At 44.4% G+C, this 23,864-nt stretch overlaps 1 protein-coding gene across 8 annotated transcripts in view; it reads right to left on the reverse strand.

Annotated features, from left to right (window-relative positions):
* CCDC149 (coiled-coil domain containing 149) overlaps positions 1-23,864 on the reverse strand; it is a 176,691-nt gene that overhangs the window by 74,953 nt on the left and 77,874 nt on the right. For 3 of the 8 annotated variants that reach the window (XM_017008827.3, XM_011513906.4, NM_173463.6), the window contains one exon: positions 16,526-16,652. The exons of the other annotated variants lie outside the window; for them this stretch is intronic. In XM_017008827.3, coding sequence (XP_016864316.1) covers positions 16,526-16,588 — 63 coding nt within the window. In that variant the 5' untranslated portion in view covers positions 16,589-16,652. The remainder of the gene's footprint in view (positions 1-16,525; positions 16,653-23,864) is intronic. 8 annotated transcript variants of the gene reach the window in all.

Below are 23,864 nucleotides of genomic sequence, written 5' to 3' on the forward strand. Positions count from 1 at the left end.
GTAAATATCAGAGGAGAGTGGCTCAGAAACCCAAACTGCAGTGTCCTCAGGGGCGTATTGAGATTTCACAGGAAAAATACCATTTACACACAATTTAACACATCTGCCCTTGTTCCTCCAGTTCTTTTCCCGTAATCAGCACCCTTGGTTGTCAGCACTGTGAGTATCGGTGACCCAAAGACAGTCACCTTTATCCCTTCAATTTATCAGATTCAAACCTGAGGCCCCAAAGACACTCGTGCCTTCCGACTTAGGGGACAAAAATCCTCATGCATGAAGACATTGGAAGCTGCAGTAGGTAAGCTCCGCGGGAACATCCCGCCTATTGAAGGGTAACAGGTAAGGGCCGCTGCTGACTGTCAAAGTGGAAATTCAAGTTCCTTGACCTTGAACAGCTCTCTGTTAGGGTCCAAGAGAAAAGCCATTTCACTCACAAGGCACGGTCCAAATAGGGCCATGAAAGCTGTGAAGGGCAGTAAAACGCCTCCCTTGCTTCTGGGTCTGAGATACCTGGTAGAAAACAGGCACAGAGGCCTCTGCTGAGACCCACTGGCCCGGGATTTGAAGAGCAGAAGCTCTGTAGGTCCCAATAATTTTACGCCATGTTATTTATTTTTATCAGCAGGACAAACCTTAGGCTGAAGCCTCATTTGTAAAGTAGCTCGAAGCAGAGCTCTGGCTGAAGGTGAGACATCTTCCCTGTAGTTCTGCCATACCCTGGCACAAGTCTTTGGCATCTATAAGGAACCCTAGAAAACACTGCTCTCTGCCAGGCACGGTGGCTCATGCCTGTAATCCCAGCACTTTGGGAGGCCGAGGTGGGCAGAACACCTGAGGTCTCAGGAGTTCAAGACTAGCCTGGACAAGATGGCAAAACCCCCTCTCTACTAAAAATACAAAATTAGCCAGGCATGGTGGCATGTGCCTGTAGTCCCAGCTACTGAGGAAGCTGAGGCAGGAGAATCACTTGAACCCGGGAGGCAGAGGCTGCAGTGAGCCGAGATCGCACCATTGCACACCAGCTGGGCAAAAAGAGCGAAACTCTTGTCTCAAAAAAAAAAAAAAAAAATTAGCTGGGCATGGTGGCAGGCGCCTGTAATCCCAGCTACTTGGGAGGCTGAGGCAGGATAATCGCTTGAACTCGGGAGGCGGAGGTTGCAGTGAGCCAAGATCATGCCACTGCACTGCAGCCTGGGTGACAGCATAAGACTCCATCTCAAAAAAAAAAAAAAGAAAGAAAAAGAAAAGAAAAAGAAAACACTGCTATCACCTGGGATGCTTGTTAAAATGCAGACTCCTGGGCTCCAGCCTAGGCCCACTAAATCAGAATCTCTGGTGCCTGGCTCAGGAATCTGCATTCTTAGCCCATGGTCCAGATGATTCTTATCCAGCCCATACTTTAAAAACTCAAGCTCTGGAAGCCTCAAGCTGCACAGTCTCAAAAGTTAGAACCAACTAAAATGGTCTGGAGGGACTGAGAGGCCACAGATAGCCCACAAGTTCAGAAGCAAGGAACAGTCTCAGAGCCATTCCGGTGAGTGTCTGTGCCATCTTTTGTAGCTTTTGGGATTCTAAACAAGTACAAACATGGACTACATTTTACTGCCTCTAGCCAAAAATCTTATACAGTCATGTAGTACATAACAACACTTTAGTCAATGGCAGACTGCATATATGATAGTGGTCCTACCATAGAAAGGTGGTGGTACCTTTTCTATGTTTAGATACGTTTAGATACACAAATATGTATCATTGTGTTACAATTGCCTTGTATTCAGTACAGTAACGTGCTGCATACATTTGTAGCCTAGGAGCAACAGGCTGTACCACATACGCTAGGCATGCAGTACGCTGTGCCATCTAGGTTTGTGTAAGTACACTCTATGATGTTCACACAATGACGAAATCGCCTAGCGGCACACTTCTCAGAAAGCAACCCCGTCATTAAGTGACACATGACTGTATATGCATGTCTCATCAAAACAACAATAGAAAACTCTAGGAAGTGGGGAGAAGGGAGTGTTGGAGAATGAGGTGAAATTTCTTGGCCTCATTCTAAAAAAGTAAAAGTGTATTCCCTGTAATGACAGCTGTTAAAATGTCCCATTTTTTATCCCTGTGATTGGAAACAAACAACAAAAAACTAGAGAGAAAAAGGTCATGAAGATCCTTCTTAGTGGGCAGCTTTGAATAACCAGCAAATATAAGGCTGGGGCATTAGAAGGAACCCAAATTAGAATGGAAAACCAGACAAGCTAAGTCACTGTGCTCAGGCTATTTAGGCTCCCAGAGGAAGATCAGTAACTATAGATAGCAGATCCAGCAATGGGCTCATCATGAACTGCAGGTACCTTGGGAAAGCCATAATACAAAAGGACCAAAAGAACGCACACTCCCCAGGACTCGTTTCCACACCTGGAAGATGAGGGGGTTCCCAGGGCACTCACCACCTTGAGGAACCCACGATTTCAACACCACTGTCGAATATCACTGGATGTAAAAAGTGCAGGAGAAAGCACGGGGTAAGGGCTCCAGTCCAGAAGGTACGACTCACTTTGAGCACCCAAAACTTGCTTTCTCTGCCTTGTCTAAGACAGAGCTGGCTCGATGATTTCCAAAGACTGTCTGTGGCCAGAGTATTTCCAGAATCTCTGGACAGTCACTTGGTGGGACAGGGTGCTGGGACTGAAGCTGCGTTTGTAGCAGCAATTTATCATAGAGTGAGAAAAGGCCAAACGTCTATTGGGTCAATATTCATGGCTCTTGCTAATATTTCTAGTTCTCCTTTCCTTCCAGGCATGTGGCAGGACGGTCCATCCCCATTGCTTTTGGGTAAAGCAGAAACATGGACCCTGCTTTGCCCGATAAAATGGGATTGGAAGGGATGTGAGTTGCTTCAGAAGGAAGGCACTTGAGAGGGGAGGTGAGAATTGCTGGGCTTTCTCCTTCCCTGCAGCAACAATGGTGGAAGCACAGGTTGCTATAGGGTTGCCACAGGATAACAGAGCTTGGAGGGGCAAGCACAGCAGACAACTGCCTGGAGAGCCATTCGGGTCCACAGAGAACTTTGTGTGATCCAGAAAAAAATTATTGGTGTGTCAAAGTACTGAGATTTGAGGGTTTGTTACTGAAGCATAACTCAACCCATCCTGACTCATATGGTCTGCATCAAAGAATGGGACTGTCTGGGGGGGAGAAAAGTTATACTTGCCCCTGGGCTGTGTGTCCACTGAGTCACCACACTGAGGACGAGGGTTCATGTGATCTCTATTAGTAGTGCTATTGATGACAAAAAGCAAGGTTTTGTAACACATGCTTTACCTGTATAATCTCCTTTAATCCTCAGGACAATGCAATGAAGTTACTGTGCTATCATCTGCATTTTATAAATGAGGAAGTGAGGCTTAAATGAAAGTGTTTGCATAATGTGCCAAGGGATTGCGAAGCCAGAATTGGAACCCAGCTCATTACAGAGCCAAGCCTGTGGAACCCCAGCTCCTGAAAAACTAAACATTCTGTGCCCCACCCCCAAAAATCAGAATATTCATGGAGTTGGTTACCACATCTAGTTGGTATTCCTAGTACAAGGAAACAAAAAAAGAGACAATTTGAATTTGGCTACTTTTCTGGACCTAGAACAAATAGTAATAAAGGTTTTATTGATTCAAACAACTTTTTCTAAAACTAGTGGGTCTGCCACTTATTTCCTCAGATGCAAAGCCTGAAGGAAGATGGAAAAAAAAAGTTTAAAAATCCACAAGCCTCACTACTCTCTCCTCTTTATGAGGGAGCCAAGTGGAAACAGTAAGGTTTCCATTCACTTCTAAGAAATGGGACAAACTAAAGGGCCTCAGAAAGGAACTAGAAGGTTCTTTTCTCAAAAGCAGTTTGATCGCAACAGGAGTTTTCTGTAAGCTATAGTTGGCCTCATTATTCAGTCAAATATTTTCTGGGTGCCTTCTATGTACTGGACACTGAGCTAAGTATTGGGACCCTCATGGGATAAATGATATCGTTGAATTTTGAAAAGGAAAGAAAGGCATGATACCTGGATAACAAAACGTTATTTCCTGCTATCTGGAATCCTGAAGGTTCTGAAAACTGAAAATGTGTTCCTATCTCGTCAGTGACCTAAGCTGATGAGAGGGTGTCTATGGCCTTTATCCATGGAGTGTGAATATTCATGTATTTGCTGAAGAAAAATCAGTGTGTTTGATCCCTGGCTGCTGCCTGAGACTCTGCCAGGGATGACATATAATATACAGTGTGTGTACTGCATTTCATTTCAGATTCCCAAAACTCCTGCATGAGAAACACATATGGGCTCCAAGGACTTTAGATATGGAATTTTTTATTGGAAACTCACCCTTACAAATCTCTACAGTCTCGATGATGAATGTGTGACTAAAATCAAACCTTTCTCCAACAGTAATTGCCCAAATAGCTAAGCATTCATTAGATTTCTACTTCCTCACATAGGCCAAGAAAAACTAAAAATGCATTAAATGCAGTAAATCTTCAAGCTTCCATATGCTTACGTGCCTGTCCCCCCAGCCTCCTAACTTCCTTATCCTTTAGAGTCAGCACTGAATGCTGGAGCTGGGATAAACCTCACGGATAACCCAAGTGACCTGCCCAGTTGCAAAGAACAAGGCTCCTGACTTCCAGCATATTCCATGACAGTGTTTTCCAAATTGTGGGTCATGATATATTAGTTGCAACCCTTGTTTTCTTTTCTTTTTTTTTTTTTTAAAGGTACAGAACAGAGCAGAAAATATCAGGGTGTATCCCCTGCAGTAAGGGTAATTATTGTTTCCTGAAGCTTTTCTATTTGAAAAGTCTATAGGAATAAACACACACATATGCCTATTTGCACATACTTCTTACAAGCCGCCATTTTAAAAGTCTGAAAACTACTGTTCTCTAATAAGCCACTCTGGACACTTACCCATTCATTCAACAAATACTTGGTGAAAGGAACGAAGAGAGGCACAGGTGGGTGGGGGTGGGGCAGGGAGGAAAGCTTGAGAGATTATGTTTGATGTGAATTTTGAGAGTGAGTAGGTGTAAAAGGCATCTGAATAGAGACCATTATGTCTTGGAAATCATTCACTTGTTCTCTGGAATTGAGTCACAGCTCTGAGGATTTAATCCCTGCTCTGCCCACCGCCTGCTGCCCCCTACATTGAGGTTATTGTGAGCCTGAAAGGAAATGTGCTATGTTAAAGGCTTTATAAACTTAAAAAAGATTGAACACATGATTTTTACAGCATTTAAAGCATCCAGAACACTTTTGCAGACACGTTCCCATTTGACAGTCAACACTCTGACAGGTGGGACAAGAACCGCTTTCCCCATTTTATGGGCAAAATAGCTGAGATTCAGAGAGGTTAGTGTCTTTCCTAGAGACACGTAACTAACAACTGTCAGCTCAAACCAGAACTTTCCATTACACATTCCAGGTTCTTTTTACTATTCTACATTGGCACCAAATTAGTTATAAGTGGTTCAACACATTACCTGTGTTGAGCAAAACCGTATTTTCAACAAGACACTCCTAGAGGTAACCGCATAGCTCAGAGAATACATTGTAACTCATTTCCAGGTCCTGTTTGGGAGACAGGCAGCTCTCCTGGGGCCCTAAGTTGAATTCCACAGGGAATGCTTAGGTCTAAGAGGCCACCTATAGATTGACAGTGTCAACAACAAACGGCATGTACAACGGTGGTCCCGTAAGATTATGTGGCCATATTTTCACTGCACCTTTTCTATATTTAGATATGTTTAAATACACAAACATTTACCACTGTGTTACAATTGCCTAGAGTATTCAGTACAGGCATATGCTGTACAGGTTTGTAGCCCAGAAGTAACAAGCCATACCATGTAGCCTCGGGATGCAGCGGACTATACCATGTAGGTTTGTGTCAGTACACTCTAGTACAGTCGCACAATGATGAAATTGCATAACAAAGCATTTCTCAGGACATATCCCTGTCATTAAGCAATGCATGGGTATAGCTAATAGATGGTAATAAGTAGCTGATTATCATTCACTAATAGTGGCTAACTACAGTACACTAAACACTTTAAAAGAGACACAAAACTCCCAGAAAAGAAAGAAAAGCAGTTTAGACTAATGGTTGGGAACACGGCAGGAGGAGCTGAAAATGCCTGAATTCAAATCTTGGCTTTGTCACTCACTAGCGACATGATCAATTACCTAGCCTCTCTGTGCCTCAGTTTCTCCATTTTTAAATGAAGATATTTACAGCATCTTCGGAGGGTTGGTATGAGAATTAAGAGTTAGTATATGTAAAACATTTAAAACAGTGTGTTGTATGCATGTTAATGATCATTACTACTATTGTTATCATGGAGGAGAGAGTGACACAGCTTAGCAAAGAAGGTGCTCAAGGAGTTGGAGGACAATGTGGTATTTGAAATCGATCGGGAGGGAGGGGTAGAGGGATACATCTTGGTTGGGGATAGACGGAGCTGTGACAAGTGGCAGTGACAGGGAAAATGTTACTCCTGGCTGGGAAACAGCCATAGCAAAGCACAAAGGTGAGAGGCCAGAAGATGTGTGTTCAGAACAGTGAGCGACGCCCTGGGCTGGCTGTGGTGGAGGGTGGGAGTACAAGCTGTGCCCAGATAAAGCCAGAAAGACAGACGGGTGGCCAGGTCAGAAAGGGCCCGGATGTGGTGCTGAGGAGTTCAGATTGTATTCTTCCAGCAGTCAGGAGCTCCGAGGGGCTTTGAATGGGGGAGTGTCATTAAGAATCATCTTAGAAAGAAACTTTCATCCTGACATCCTGTGGTGTAAATTATATTGGACAGTACAGTGTGGGTGGAATTTGCTGCCAAGCTTGAGAAGAGAAGAGAAAGTGATTGTGGTTCAGGATCCACTCTGCAGACACACCTTTGGATCCTGCAGTTTGATCTGAGCTGTCAGGCCTACAGAGAACACACTGGCTTTGCTGTTTCTTAACGCAGTCTGTGATCACGGTGTCTAATGCAGTATTGTTAGACAGGGTGCTACCCAGGCAACCAGACTCATGCGTGGTTTCAGCCTCCGCCGTGACGGCTGGTGCCGGAATCACATCAGTGGGCGAGTGGGTCACATGGCTGCCCAAACACACTCCAAAGGGCCAAGTTGAGCAAGGAAAAACAGGGAAATATCCCACTTTCTGGTCACTAGGAGGGGCCAAGAGACAAACACTTTATCCTCCTAATGCCTCCACTTTTGCTCTTCAGTCAAGACAAAATTCTGCTGGTCAAGTTCATGTGTAGAGTAGGGACTGCTGACATTCTCTCTCCTTCCCAGCTCAGGAAGGTTTCAGTTTGTTTTCAGAAGAGGGGACAGAGAAATGAAATTAGTATTTTTTTGAATATCTACTATGTGCCATGCATTCTTAGGAATAATAAGAAGACCTTCATTTGATTATAACAGTAACAGTAGCAGCCACTATCTAGTGAGCATTACTATTTTCCAAACTGCTAAATGTTCTACTTGAAACATCATATTTAATCTATATGGCCACTATGAAATAGGTTGTAAGATTAGTCCCATTTTACAGAGAAGGACATAGAACCTCAAAGAGGTAAATTTATCCTTCATCACAAAGGTAGTAAGTGGCAGAGCCAGACTGTTACCTGGGTATATCAATTAGGATTCTTTGGTGTAAGCAATAGTAACTGACATTCTAACAAAGGAATATATTGGAAGGATACTGGCCCTTATAGACTTGGCAAGAGAATGCAGAGCTAGACTCAGACACAGGTGGGCAGCAAGGCAAATCTGGGCAATGGAGATAGGAACCAGGAACCACCAACCACCAGGTCTTGTTGCAGGAAAGGTTGTCAGAGGCTGACAAATGGGATGAACTGGACTCTGTGACATTTCAGTCTGGACTCTGTTACATTTCAGTCTCTTTGCCTCTCTGTTCAAGGAGTCTCCAACAGCCTAAAGCAGATCATGAGGAGTCTTTGCCTGGGCATCTGTCCACAGTTATTAATGTACACAGACTGTATCCAGTGGTAATACCCTCCACTTGGAAGTGCTATTGAGAAAAAGAAATGAATGCTGGGAAGTGAGAAAACAACAAATGTGCATTGCACCAACCTGGGGAGGATCCATGCTACTGAGTTTATTTCTCAACCTTGCTAAAGCTCCCCTTCTTGTGTTTTTTGAATAAAGATTGAAAAATAAATGGTGATCATTCAATAATAATCCTTTTACTTTAACCTCTAAGTCTCTATTAATCATACACAGAAACACAGGAGTGCATAGGAGCTCCAGGAACACTCAGGGCGAGGCTCACGTGGCTGCCCTTGGTACACACCTACCAGCTGAAGAAAGGAAGACAGCTGGTGTATACTAACACCAAATACACTAGGTAATCAGTGACACACGAATGGAATAAGCTCAGTAAAATATGCCTAGTTTTGGGTGTGAATACTAGATATCATAAAATATTTTTATTATTCTCTCAAAAATATATTTCTCTGCAATTGCATTTCAATTACATTTTTAAAGCAGAGCTTACAACTCATTTGTCGATGTTAATTCATGCCCACACACAAACACCATGAGGGTAGTTTGTGCTCATCATGTGCTCATCATCCTAAAAGCCCAAACCATTGGCCATTGAGGGGCTTTTATCTGCCCTAAAGCAAATCATAATTGCTACAACAAAGATCAAAAGATCATAATAATTAAATGGCTATCTGACATACTACATTACTATTTGGGTGGCTTTATAGCCAGATAGCTGCTGCTGAGAGATGAAGGTAGCTGGGGTGTAGTGGGGGTGGGGTGGGGGGCGGGGATGGGGTGCAGTCACTTCTTGCCAAAGACTCCTGGTCCTTCGCGATTTTTACTAATGGGATCAGTCTAGCTCTCATTAGCCACCGCAAGGGCATGCCTGCTAATCCAGACAGAGTTCTCAGCAGATGATAAACAGACATGGCCAAAGAGTTCATGTTCAGGAATAATTTAGAAACTTCTCAGCTGCAGACTCATTCTTTCTGTAGAGGTACCTCCTCCCCTGATCACCACCTACTCACTCATAACTGCCCTTGCCTTCCCCTCTTCTCCATCCCCCATCCAGCAATACCTCACTTCCCACCCAACAAATGGCTCCAGGTGAACAGCATTCAACAATCAACCTCCCTTCCCCGCCTCCAACAAGCCACCCCTCCATGCCTGGAACCTCTGTTTTGCTCTGCCCTGTGATCTCTGGCAGGGACCATCACAGCAGCCTTCTGGTTTCCCTACTTGTCTAGTCCAGGTACCAGTCCCTTTGGAGAATGTAAATTAGGGCTTGCCACTCTTCTTTAAAAAAAAAAAAATCTCTGATGTTAAGGAGATTTGCAAACAGGAGCCTTTCAGCATCTGGCTGCAACCCACCTCTCCAACTTCATCATCAGCTCTTCTACTCCCGCCCTCCATGTTCCTGTTCAGCCCACCTACTGCTGCCCCCACACTCAAGCTTCTTCACCTCTCTCTTTTTCTACACTGTCCTGCACCCTGCTCCTGAGTCCCTGTCTGGGAAGCTTCTGCCACTCCCCCAGGCAGAGTGAGAGCCACGTGGCACTGTGGGTACACTTAGAGTAGCACTCACACACCCTGTATCGCAGCACCTGCCCACCTGCCCACTTGTCTGACTAAGGCCTCTTTGCAGCCAGGGCCCATCTTATTCATCTTTGCATCTCCAGAGCCAGGCACAGCTCCTGGCCCACAGTGTGTGCTGAATACATATTTAAGAAATAAGTTTCAGTTCCCACCAAGCTGAATATATACATAGATATATAGATAGATAGATTTACATATTTTAGTCAGATAGCCATCAATTTATTATTAGGCCTAAATGTCTAAATCTCATTTAGCATCATGCTTTGCAGAAAAAAAAAATCCAGTTACACAAACTCAGTGTGTAAGGAGAGGATGCAGGACAGTTCCTATAGAATCATCAAAATGACATTTGTATGTTGACCTCATTTTTATTGCTTAAAAGGACCACTTCCCTGCCATCACAGGGGTATACACTCCTTTCAGCACCTTCATTCTTAAAAGTCCTGCAGATTCACCAACCCTAGATAGACATTCAGAACCTCCACTTGGAGATACATGTATATTTAACCTCTCCAGACATGGGTTTGGTTATCTATGGAGTACAATGCCTGTGGGGCTGGCCACATGCTGATATTCATCTTGCTGAAGTCCTCCAGCCTGCGGCAATCCCTAAGCCCTGCAACATTAACACCCTCGCACCTTGGGTGTGAGCCTTTCCTGCCCACGCCTATAGTCCATCCTCCAATTGCAAGACTCCCTGGGCATTTCCACAGCCTTTTCTAAATCTGTATTCACCTCTGTAATTTTTAGATAACATTTCAGCAATTTCAAATTGGTAGCTTAATGATTCTAATGCCATTCTCTAAGATGACTTTTTTTTTTTTATGATCTATCTTTCTCAGACTCACCATGCCGTTTTCCCCCTCTCCGGTATTACTTTTGACAGGCAAACTTTGATTATTTGAATGCCCCAGGGGATGTGCTGAAATTTAAGTGAGATTTCAGGTAATGGGAAGAGTTTATAATGTGAACTACAGTAGCTGGGGGGTATGTGAAATTCACTGACAGTCTTGGCTAACCGAAGTTTTGAATAACGAAGGTTTGCCTGAATATCTATTTCAATCCTTTCACTTCTCTTATTTCTCCTTTCCTCCCTCTCACCATCTCAGTCTCTGCATTCTCCACTAACTATGCCCCTGTCCTTTGCAAGCCTATAAAGATGAGGAGGAAACACATGGAAAAAAGATTGGCTTTCTTTCTCATTGGCCATAAACGGGCTAGGAAACCACCTCTCACTTGTTGAAGATAGCATCTATTTCTAAAAATCATGGCTTACCTAGAGTGAATTTGCTCTGTCCCCAGTGCTAGGCTGATCCAACCTTGTCTCAGGCCGAGATGCTGCCGGTACGCCTTGCAGTTCTGGTTTGTTTCAGAGATTGTGTATATGTTCAGGATGAAGCACTAAAATTACGCATGCATCTGAAACCCTCTCTTTGCCATCCAGGTTGCCAGGGGCCTGAGGTCTGCTGGATACAGGTGACAGGCAGCTTGCATCACCAACCCTCACATATTGCAATTACACATTATGACATATAACTGTCACATATGGAATGTAACGATAGATTCACTGGTTACTTCATTATAGAATAATAATTCAATTCGGTTGCAGAGGGCTTTCCTTGTGGGCTGTGTAGCAGTAAGAAGTCAGCAAAGCATGTACAATATTTTGGTCAGACTGACTTTAAAAGCTGTAAAACTGCTGTGGTTCATTTTATCTGTCTCAGTAGAAATCCTAAAAAATACCCTAACACCCCTATTACTAATGAGGCCCACTGCACCTTTGCATATTATCAGCTCTTAACTTCTTAGACCTGTTCCCGAACCCTGGGAGGCAAAGGGGACCTGTAATCGTGCTTCCACTTTATAGATGAGGTATTGAGAGGGTTACAGGGTGGCATTTGCAGAACTAGAATTGATTCCTTGACCGTTCTTTAACAAAAGGGAAACTCAGGAGATACAGACAGGAAAGCATCATTAATAGAAGCAATGCGGCACCTGGGCTTTAGAGTGACATGATGTGGGGTTTGCCACCATCTCCTACCACAGGGACCACAAGAAGCCACTCCCCCACTCTGTGCTTCAGTTTTCTTTTCTATAATGATATGAACAGCCAGCAGCATTTTGAAGCCTACTCAGTCCTAACAGATGATTCAGCATTTCACATACATTAATCACTAATCCTCATCACAACCCCAAAATGTAAACATCATTACCCCCCTTTACAGGCGAAGAAACTAAGGCTCTAAGAGTTTTTTGGAAAAAAAAATTATGAAGCTTGTAAGAGGCAAAGGTGGGATTTGAACCCAAGCCTGTCCCATGCCCTTTCTGCCACAGCACCCCATTCACCCAAAGGAGAGTTGGAAGGATTCTATAGAATTACTTACGTGAGAAAAAGCACTCAATAAACTCTAAAGACACCAATCTTATTATCACAGTAATCAAAAGAACTGAGTCTGTCCCATTTGAAGACAGAAAACAATCTCCATTCCTAAATGTGTTGGCAGATCTTGCCTTCTGAAAAATATGATTCCCCTTCTGGGATGAACAGTCCCATAAGAGGGCCAGTGTGTTCAAGATGAAGCTTCAACTCAAGATGGAGCATGTCTGAGAACAGTCCCTGGCTCCCAGCTCTCTGATACTTGAGTCAGGTGCACATACTCTAAAGCAAGGAGGTGTTCCATCCCAGTCTGCCCCAAAAGGCAGTCATCTGCAGACTTGAGATCTTGAAATCAGCCGTGCAAATCCATTACTACTTTAATTATCCAAGTAAATAGAGCTCTTACCACCATCTGCTGAGATTTCAACCAATCATGATCAACACAGTCTTTCTCTCTGGATGAGAAGCTCAGAGTCATCGCTAAAGGGCCACTTGGGCCCTGAATTTCCGCCTGCAGCATGCAGGCCTCCCCAGCCGAGCCCTGTGGCTGGGAGCTGTTTTCTCCCTCTCACTGCGCCTTGCTCATATTTTCCTGAGCACTGTTAATTTGCTCCTGCACTTCATCTTTGTCGATTTTATTTTCTTTCCATAAACTCCAGATACTACTGATTAGTGAGAAACTATCCTTAACAAGAACTGTCAGTTTAGAACTCAGCCCCCCCAGCAAAAAGTCAGGCGGAGATTTATTCTGGGACATTGGTGGGTGTATAATCCTCGTGATTCAAATCACTGATGTTTTCAGAGGACAAACTAAATTGTAAACACTGCTCAAGGTGGGGACTCCATCCAGGTCTGTTTCTCTGGCTGATAACTGTGATGGGCTGATTATGCTAGCAAAAGGCTCCCATGGGTGACCCAAATTAATTATGGCTTTCTGGGAAAATGGCAAAATCTTCACTGGCTGCAGATCACCAGTGGACTGCAAGCCAATGATGGGCATGATTTGACTTGCTCTCCTTAACAGAACATTTGACCACCACCATCATCACCTCTGTCATCACTATTTATCAGGAGAACATTTAAATGACGATAAAATGGGTTGTTCGGTTTACTCTTTTGCGTGTGCATCTACAAGATCTAATACTAAATTAAAAACTCCTTTGGAGAAGTGCACATAGACATCACTAATTCAGGTAAGCTCGAGGTTTGGGCATCTCGCTTTCAACAAAGAAAATTTGCCAGGCACAGTGGCTCATGCCTGTAATCCCAGCACTTTAGGAGGCCAAGGCAGGAGGATTGCTTGAGCCCAGGAGTTTGAGACAGGCTTTGGCAGCATAGTGAAACTCCTTCTCTACAATTTTTTTTTAAATTAGCTGGGTGTGGTGGCGTACATCTGTAGTCCCAGCTACTTGGGAGGCTGAGGTGGGAGGATCCCTTGAGCCCAGGAAGTTGAGGCTGCAATGAGCCATGATCATGCCACTGCATTCCAGCCTGGGGGAGAGAGTGAGACCCTGTCTCAAAAAAGAAAAAAAGGTCAAAAGAAAATTCAGTAGTCATCAGGATCATCATAAATAGTAGCGTCAAAATGGATTGTTAAATATATGTCCAGGCTGACCATTCCAAAAGGAGATGAAATTCAGAGGCAGAGAGACTTAAAAAGATAGAAGGCAGTGGATACTCCCAAGTAAGACCCGGGGTGTGAGTCAGAGTCCCCTCTGGATTCCAACTCCTGCCCTACCACTTCTAGCTGAAGGATCTTGGGCAAGGAAATCCATTGCTTGCTGAGCCTAAGATCTTTTATCTGTAAAATAAGGACTATGATAGTACCTACTTCATGGTACTATAGGTTTGTCAAAGGATTAAATGAGATAATGAAAAGAAGGCTTTTAGCCCAGTAACTGGCATGCAGCTGCCATTTACTTACAGCTTATATTCATCATCATCATCCACAATCATCATCTTCCTGGATAACATCAGCACTGGTTGCTGTCCACTTAAGTGGAAGGGTACAAAGACTATAGTAGTTAAAATAAGTCCTTGGGAAAGACCTACGAAGCCTGATGGGCTCAGATTTCAGGTATGACCATAGAAGCGTCAGCCAAAACACTGATGGCAGGCACTGTTCTGGGCAGTTTTTCACATTAGCTCATTTGATCCTCACAAGGAGGCCCTCTGAGGTAGGTACTATGAGGATCCCCTATATAAAATACTGTCCAGTGAGATGGAAGCAACAGTGTCTGAAACATTTCCTTTCCAATGTTTCAGACTTCTGAAACATTTCCTTTAAGGGAGGGGCACTGTCTTTGTCCATTTTTTGTTGCTATTACAGAATACCAGAGACAGGGCAATTTATTAAGAAAATAAATTTATTTCTCACAGTTCTGTAGGCTAGGAAGTCCAGAAGCATGACACCAGCATCTGCCAATGACTTTCTTGCTACATCATGACACAAATGAGGGAAGGCATCCCATAGTGAGTAAGCACTCCAGACAGAGAGAAAAGGGGGCTGATCGCCCTCATTAACAAACCTACTACCATGATAATGACATTAAATCCTTTCATGAGGGCAGAGCCTTCCTGACCTAATGACCTCTTGAATGTGCCATTTAGTAACACTGTCACGATGGCAATTAAGTTTCCATGTAAGTTGTGAAGGGGACATTCAAACCATAGCAGGTTCACTCTTGCCTATGTCTTCCTCCTTCTTGCCACATAGTGGTCTGCAAAGTGGAAAGCCTCACACATGGAATGATGAACCAGAAAAATGAAAGGTGGCTAGGTCTCTAACAGATTGTAAGCCAGCATGCCAGCCCTAAAATGCCTACCTCCAAATGTATTGCACTTCAGAAAAATATAAAGTTCAATATTATTTAAGCAATTATTAATTCTGGTATTTCATTAAAATTAATCCTAAATAAAATACCAACATACCCAAATATGTGGTATGAGGAAATTGGACACCCAATATTGTAAGACTTGTAATCCACTTCACAATCAGAACTCTGTGTCACCACTGACAGATGACATTGGCTATCTGAGACACAAAAGTAAGTAAGCAGTACATCAGGGCATTATGTAGTTAGGGTTTTAAGTAAGAGAATGTTTCCCTTCTAGCACAATCTAAAATACAGACTTTTTTTTTTTTTTTTTTTTTGAGATGAAGTCTCACTCTGTCAATCAGGCTGGAGTGGAACGGGGCAATCTCAACTCACTGCAACCTCTGCCTCCTGGGTTCAAGCAATTCTCCTGCCTCAGCCTCCCTTAGTAGCTGGGATTATAGGCACCCACCACCATGCCCAGCTAATTTTTGTATTTTTAGTAGAGACAATTGGCCAGGCTGGTCTCAAACTCCTGACCTCAGGTGATCCGCCCGCCTCGGCCTCCCAAAGTGCTGAGATTACAGGTATGAGCCACCACGCCCAGGCTAAAATCCAGACTTCTTAAAAATTAGTGCTTCAGTGTACCAGGTTGGTTGGTCCACTCATTCACTCATTCATTCCTTCATTCACTCATTTTGTGAGGCTGTGTTAGAATAGGAACAACACAGACTTCAGAATCAGAGAAACCTGGAGTTCAAATCCCAGCTCTGGCTTTCCTTGCATATTCCCTGATGTCTACTTATCTTTTAGCTGTACTGAAAGTCATATGTCAAGCATCCAGCACAGGACTCAAAGCATTAAAAAGTGCTCAATGAATGTTTCCTTTTTCCTTCATATAGGTTCCTGAATTGAAAATTACATTAAAAAATCTTCATGTGGTGGCTGGCACACTGCAAATGGAAACTTAATATAATTTTATTGCCATTAGTAATAATAATAAGAGTAGTGGTAGCAATCAGCATAGTGGTTGTAGTGATAGTGGTAGTAAAATAATCAAAACCTAAACTGAGAGAGGGTGAAGAGAGGCAGGTTTCCAAGTGTGCACTGTTAATGCCTACATAATCAAGACTCAGCTGTTCAGCACTGAGTGGGAGGGTATTTCTGGGAGACGGGTGGAGCTTTTCTCCTCCTTGTTGGTGTCTTCACAAATTCCAGCAATCAAAATAGTCATTTTCCTTCCTTGCCAATGTCATCTTAAAAGAACCTCTCTCTAAACCCAGGTGCTTAAATTGTCCAGTGAGTTTCTCTCCTCTTTAAGAAGAAGTTGAGGAATGGGACAAACAAGCACCTTAGTATTTGTTCTCCTGTAAACACCAGAGCAAAAGTATGTTCGAAAGGGCATCTCACAACGTGTGTTAGGATGTGAGATGCCCTTTCGAACATACACAGCAATGGTTATTAGGATGTTTAGCATAACACATGTATATTCAAAAAAACTAAGCAAGTCACAGAAGGCACAAGCAGGCCTTGAAGAAAAAAAATCTCAAAGTCGCTGACACCCCTGCAGCCTGTGCTAGAACCAAACAGAACCCCTCATGCCAGCCATTTAGGCTTTCTGATAGTGGGGAAAAATACAGCAGGTATTTATAAAACATAGGCTTAAAGTCCCATGCAGGCATGGTTTGTCAATACCTCAGAATCCCAAGTGGCCGCTCTGGCGATGATGATGATGATGACGACGACGATGACGACCATGATGGTGATGATGATGAGTTAATGACGTGGCAACTATCCACTACTTATGAATAAGTAGTGCTGACTAGGAATAAGAACACGTTATAAAAACAGCATATGATACTGGAAGTCAGAATAATGGTTACCTCTGGGTGAGGCAGGAGGGATATCTTGGCTCAGAAGGGCATAGGAAGCCTTCTGGGGAGCTGGGGATGCTCTAGAACTTGCTCTGGGTGGTGGTTACACAGGTATGTGCACATGTAAAAATGCACTGAGCTGTACACTTAAAATGTGTGCCTCTGCTGTCTACGTGTTAGCCTCGATACAAATAGTAAAACAGCATACACTATAAATTCATTTTTAGAAATTAGGGCATGGAAACATGGAAGATTACAGCAGTCAGCTCTGGGTAGTCAAATTGTAGGTGGCTTTTTTTCTTTTATATGTATCTGTATTTTCTAAATTTGGAGGGTGCAGTGAATTTACATTGCTCGGTGTTTAAAGTTAAAATCCACTGTTACCCAAGGCATTTCTCATCTCTAGATAACACCTTCAGTCATTCACTTTCTTCTCAAACCTTTCCTCATTCACAGGCTCAGGCAGTCTGGGGCATGTCCCTCATGGCTGCCTGAGGAAATTCTTTACAATGGGCATGGGGTGGGGTGGTGAGTCTGAGGTGTTACTAGATTATCTCACTTTCTTGGAGCCTCTGCTCAGACAGGACTGGGTCACCTGGTGCACCTGTCTTCAGGCTCCCACAACAGAGGGGCTATGAGACCATCCCTTCAGGATGACCTGACCCCACTCTTGAGGACTCCTTAGCCCACTGTTGCTCAATTTCCAGCCTATACTGAAGTCTGGGCAGGAATCTAGAACCAGACCCCAAAAGTCTCCTTTTCAGCTCACATTCTTGGGTTTAGATCAGGTTAGCAGAAGCAGAGATGAGGAAAGCGGTCTTGCAGCATGCAAGGGCTGCCGCCTCTTGTCTGGAAGTGAGCATGCAGGGCGCCTGAATCCAGGGTTCCCAGCACAAACCTGGGGTCCAGAGGGAAAAACATCCAACAGGAAGTTAAAACCGAGCTCCTCTTGCTTGCTTCTTGCTGAGTGACCATAAAGAAGGATGCTGAACTTCTGAGCATTTCACGAACACTCTGAATTACCATGTCTTTGTTTATATAATGAGGTCATTACCACCTGCTCAGTCTAATCCACAAGCTTGTTATGAGGGTTCCATAAGGAAATGGGGGGTAAGGTGACTACATCCTGGTGGACTGTATACCCCAACTTTTGGCAGAGTGCCTGAGACACAGTAAATCCTTGTAAATACCAGTTGAAGAAAGACGAATGTAAAGAATTATTTTTATCATTATTTTTCTTAATGAGAAGACCATAGGGGCCAAAGAAATTGCATGAGAGTCAACCGTGGGTAGCAAATAACCTTTGGAGCAAGCTTGAATTCTAGAGCAGAAGAGAGTTAAAGCCTGGTGTATGTTCAGACACGCTATAATACAGGTCAGATCCCATTACAGAAAGTAGCTCTTTATAACCAAATGATTTCCCACCCACAGCCTCTGCCTGGCTTTTTTCAAGCAATATATCTGAGATAATAAAATTCCAGTTTGGAAGGAAGGAAGGTAAAGAAGGGAGGGAGGAAGGAATTGACTTACAGTAAGTTCATAAATCCCTTAGAGCTTATTAAAAGGTGATTTGACTTACTACCTTGAAAAGATCACAGTCTATATTTTGAAAGTCATGTCTGTGGGATAAAAATGGATACAAAGGGACTTTGGGGAAAGAAACAGATGAGAATGTTGTTTGGACCAAAAGAAAAAAAAAATCAACGTCCTCGTGTTAATTCAGTAGTTTTTCAATTTAAGTATTAACTGAGAAACCATGAGGTTTGTCATCTCTTTTAGATTTTTCCACTATATGCAGGACACTGTGCTGGTCACAGTGAGAGATTCAAAGATGAATTGGTCAGTTCCTTCACTAGAGCAACTCCAAGCTGCAGGCAAGGCACAAACACATGTAAATCCAACCCATGGCGGCCAGGGAGACACGCGGTCAGAGAGGCATGGCTAGATGTTGTGAGATCACAGAAGGGGAGGAGGGCTTTTAGTCTGGGGGCAAGAGAGCTGTGACTGAACCTTGAGAGAGAAGTAAGAAAAAGGAAGAGAACAAGAGTTCCAGGCAGAAGGCACGGCCTGATCAAAGGCTGGGTGTGTGGCAGCATGCGCTTCAGACAGAAATAGAAGTGGTTGTTTTCCAGGAGTGCAGGATGTGTGAAAAGGAGAAAGTCAAAATAAGTCTGGAAAGTTTGGTTTGGATGAAAGTAAGAAAGGCCTTAAATGACAGCAGAGTTTGGGCCAACATGAGAGCTGACGGGAGCTATGGAGGTCTGTGAGTGAGGAAGGGTCACAGTCAGAGTTTTGCTTCCAGAGACTTGATCAGGCAGTAATTAATGAAATGGAAAGGTACAAGGAGACACAGGAGGTAGGGAGGGTGCTGAGGAGGCCTGCAAAAATCCCAGAGAGAGGTTGCTATGAGTTCTTTGTGAGCAATTGCAGTCTTCTTCCCTAAGCACTGAAAACAGCTTAATAAAAGGCTTACTCAAACCCCAGCAAATCAGCAAAGGAGAGCAGCCAGCAGATGCTCTGAAGGCCAGAGAGGGGTATGAATGAAGAGGGGCAGAACAATTTGGGCACGAGTTTGGATTTGGGCATGAGTTCGGACTTGGGCACAATAAGAGGCGTACGAAGTCAGAAGGTAACTAGGAGGTTCTCAGAAGAGGCCGCAGAAATGGCAGCTGCCCAGGCTTGACTGAGCAGCCTGCATGCATGCTGCAAAGTCTGGCAAAGCCAGAGAATGTTGGGAAGGAAGAAAAGGTTACAGATTGACCCCAGCAGCACTCACCAGGTTGGAGCAAATTAGAAAGCAAATTGGAACTGGCTAGTGAGAGAGAGTCCCATCCCTGCCACCTCCAATACTGCCTTGGTCGTGGGGTCTGCAGATGGCAGAGCAAGCAGGCACAGCAATCTGCGCCCCATCAATATGATTTTTCCATGGCATCATGTTGACAGTCAGCAGCTGACACATCACCTCCCTCTGCAGGAGCATCTCTGAAGCCCCGGGGAAGGGTTTTCCCAAAGCCCAGGCAAGGATAGGAGCATCGCCTCACCTGGAGAGGGTTGGGGGATTTAAAACACACTTTCACATACATCATCTCACTTTATCATCATCTTAACCGAGAGACACAGGTAGGTACTGTCATCCTCACTGTACAAAGTCCAGAGAAAATGAGGTATTGGAGAAGTCAGGAGATTTGCTCAAAACCAGGTAGCTACATATTTCTGGAGCTTGGTGACTTACAAAACCCATTGCAACTTGAGCCGGGAAGCTGGCCGGGACATTGGGCATGTTCTGGGGCACTTCAGACACTCCCAGCTCTCTTAGGGCCATGACTGGTCTGGAGGAGAGACTAGAAGTGGGGCACACCAGCAGGGTTGGCTTCAAAGAGAATCCTGGAAATGACAAGGTAATTGTCTTTCCTTCTTATTCCCTCCCTTCTACAAGCTACTGCTAAGTGTCTATCCTGTGCCTAGCATTGTGCTAGACATTGGTGACCACCCACCATTCTGAGGACCCCCATCCTCAGGAACCGAGTTACCCTGCCAACAATCCCCCATACCATCTTCCCAAATGCAATGTACCACTCATTGCCCAACCTCTTGGGGCCCAAGAGAAGTGGGAGACCCAAGGGGAGTCTGTGACATTTGAGCTGGGCTTTAACATATGAGTAGGAGGTCACCTTTGGACATAAGCAAGTCTTAGAGATGTTATAGGGCATGGAATGATCTGGCCAGAGTCAGGAGTACTATGAAGGGTAGGGGAGGTGGTGGAAATAAGGGTTACAGGAGTTACCAGAGGTGTGGAGTGGGAAGGGCCCTTGGAGGCCAACTGAGGCACATGGCTTTCATTCTGCAGTCCCTAGAAAGCCATCAGAGAGCTCTCAGCAGTAGAGTGGTAAAATCATTTCAATGCTTAGATGATGACTCTAGCAACTGCATGGAGGAAAGATCTTCCTAGAAGATATTCCAGGGAGAGGGGTTGAGAATCTGGCCACAGTGAAAGAGTGGGAATGGTGACACGGATGCCCTATTTAAGGACTTGTTCCAAAGCCAGAAAGATGGATCTTAATGAATAAGAATTAGAATCGGGTTGGGAGGTGTAAGTTGGGAAGAAGAATCAAGGTAGACTTCACAGTGATACCATTGAGGCGGGATGGAAGCAGGAAAGAGAGATAGGAAAGTGTATACAGAAGGAGCATGAGTTCCACTTAGGGCACACTGAGTAAGGTGTTTAGTTCCTGGGGACATGGCCAGTAGCCACATGGAGGGATGCAGAAGCCCAGCATGTAGGAAAAGAAGAGGAGAGTATCAGAGGCTGCACAGCCAGGATCGAGTCCTAAAGAAAGACCACTGGGTGTGGCAGTTAGGAGGCTGGTCTTAGGCAGCCTTGGCAAGAGCATTATCAGGGGCAGTGAAGCTGTGAACGGGAGACCCAAGTGAGTCGAAAGTGGATAAGGGCAAAGGGACAGACAGACACTGACACAGACAGGCTCCTGTGCTCTCCCCAAGCCCCATCCCTGTCCAGTCCCTCACATACACTCCTGACAGATCGGTTCCCTCCCCAATGCATCCAAGCAACTTCTACTCAAAGGAGACTATTGTGCCATTGTTTGGTTCCAGAATGAATGCCATACTTGGGTACTTGGGACCCTAGCACCCTCTATACAGTTAACAGGGCATTCGAGGTCTGCCTAACCAACACCTGATGCTCCACTATGTGTCCCCACCAGAGACCAGATGATCTGAGATTTCCCCAACAAGTCTTGCATTTTGCTATGTCTGTACCTTTGCCATCTCTATTCCTTCTGTCTAGAACACCCTTCCTTGACATCTCCATTTGCTGAAATTCTGCCCAACCTTCCTGGCCCAGGTGCCACCTCCATTAAGAACCCTCCTCAATCCTCCAATCTAAATTAGCCTCCCCTTAACCTGAAGAACGCTTATCACAATGCATATCACAGCATAGTGTCCTCATCCCCATTCTCTATCACCACTGCACTGTAACTCCTTGAAGGCAATTGTCACATGCAGAAGGCTTTGCACATAGTAATGCTCACTATGTAACTGGCACATTGAATGCTGACCTTCTCCTCTGCTAGACATCCTGTCCCACTGACATATGAGGGCTGTCCTTCACTCCTCCTTCACATCAACCAGCCAACCCACTACAATGGTGGCTCTCTCCTGACATCACTGACCCCCACCTTTGTGCCTGCCATGAATAGAGCTATACGTGGGCAGGCACATCCATGAGCTACTTTCCCTAAATGAGGATGTGAGATCACAGTAGAGGCTCTGCAAATGGGCCAGAACCAGGTTGGTTCTGTACTCTGTATCAGTGCCCTGCCTCAGGTCCTGCACTACCTGAGCCACTGCATGATACATCATCATTCCAGAATTCCTGTCTCCTGCCCCAACACAGGTGGCCACAGTCCTTTCTCTAAGGAGCTTGTCAACTTATACAGGAGTTAATATCTACACAGAGATACAGCTCCTCTCTTTCTTAGGTAGCATGTGAGTGTGAAAGGATCACAGTTTAAGCCAAGCCAAATAAGGCAACAGGACGAAGAGCTCACTTCAAGATTGGCATCATGGAGGATTTTAGGAGGGATGTGGGGTTCCACCCCACCTTAAAGGACTGGTGAAGGCTGTGGACAGAGAAGAAGGGGGAGGCCCACCTGGATGAGGTCAGGGTGTGAGATAAAGGTGGGAGCCAGAATGCATGGCAGATCATTTTGGCTGAAGCAGCCAGCGTATGTGGGGAGCAGTGAGACAGGCAGAAAGATAGGTCAAGGTCAGCATGAAGAGGCTCGAACACCAGGTGATGGGGAGCCACCACTGAAGGTTTCCGAGTAAGAGGACATCATGAAAAATGTTTTTTCTTAAAGGTGGTTTAATTGGCTAGCTGTACAGAGGATAAACTGACTTGAAGAAAATATGATACCCTGAACAGTATTAGGATGTTTGTTGCAATAAAATAGCTTCAGATAATGAAGAGAGTGGACCAGAAGAGGTGAAAGTGGAAAGACTTCAAAGTAAAAATCAACCAAAGGTTTGTGTTCTTTGGGAACCAGGTCTCCACCACTTTGCCAGATGGGCCAGAGAGAGGTGCAGACTCTCAACTTAAGCAACTTCTCTGCCAGGAGGTACTAAAGCCCCAGTATGGTTTTACTGGTGGAAAACCAGGCAGTGAGTAGTAAATGTCATTCACTCTGGTCATTTTCATTCAGGGACTGGCCAAAGTCCTCTTCTCATCTTCAGCCAATGTATTTTATTCAACGTGAAACTCACTATATTAATTTTTTTAACATAATAAGTGTAGAAATTGTCAATTTTAGGAGCACATATGCGAATTTCCCCGCACAGGAGAGAACATGAATCCCATCAGTTAAAAATAGCAGTTGAGCTCACTTTCCCCCACACACTAATTTTAATAAACTTACTCTGAAATTAGCCTGCCACTATGAAGATAGCTGCTCATCGAAAATGTTCCCAGTAAGCACTAATCTTCCTTCCCAAGAGCTCAAGTACTCCCAGGAAACTCTGAATGATGCACAGTTCTGAACAGAACCCATGCTCTTCTCACCAAACTCATATCTCCTAACCTCCTGTCACTTCCAGTACCACCACCCTCCAGCCATGCAGCAAGGGCCATCTTGGACTCATTCTATTCCATCTCTCCAATCCTGCTAGCCGTAACTTGCTGTAGGGGTCTTCCTTTAGAATGTTTCCCATAGCCATCCCCTTTTCTCTATTCCCATCAATGCTGTAACCCCTTAACACCTCATTCATTCAAACATCCAAGCATTCATATATTCTACACGTATTGAGCACCTGCAATGGGCAAAGTACAGGGCTAAGTGCTAAGGTTACATATGGTCCCTACTCTCAAAGATTTCAAGATCTTTTGGGTCCAGTGGAGAGACAGGTAAGTCAAGGGTTAGGTTGAAAACTACACGATAAGTGGTAGGACTTAGGTGCAATGGAAATAATTGAGAATGTTGATGGTGGCAGAAAAGGCTAGATTACTGGTATCTCTTCCTAACCTGTCCTTCCCTGATTCCTGGCAGGGTCACCAAATTAGTTTTTATATCATCACGGCCTGGCATAGTACCTTGCAGACAATACAGACTCAGTAACTGTTGAATTCAGTGGAAACCAACCTACCC

Source organism: Homo sapiens, chromosome 4, assembly GCF_000001405.40.
Source record: "Homo sapiens chromosome 4, GRCh38.p14 Primary Assembly".
In the NCBI taxonomy this organism is placed as follows: domain Eukaryota; kingdom Metazoa; phylum Chordata; class Mammalia; order Primates; family Hominidae; genus Homo; species Homo sapiens.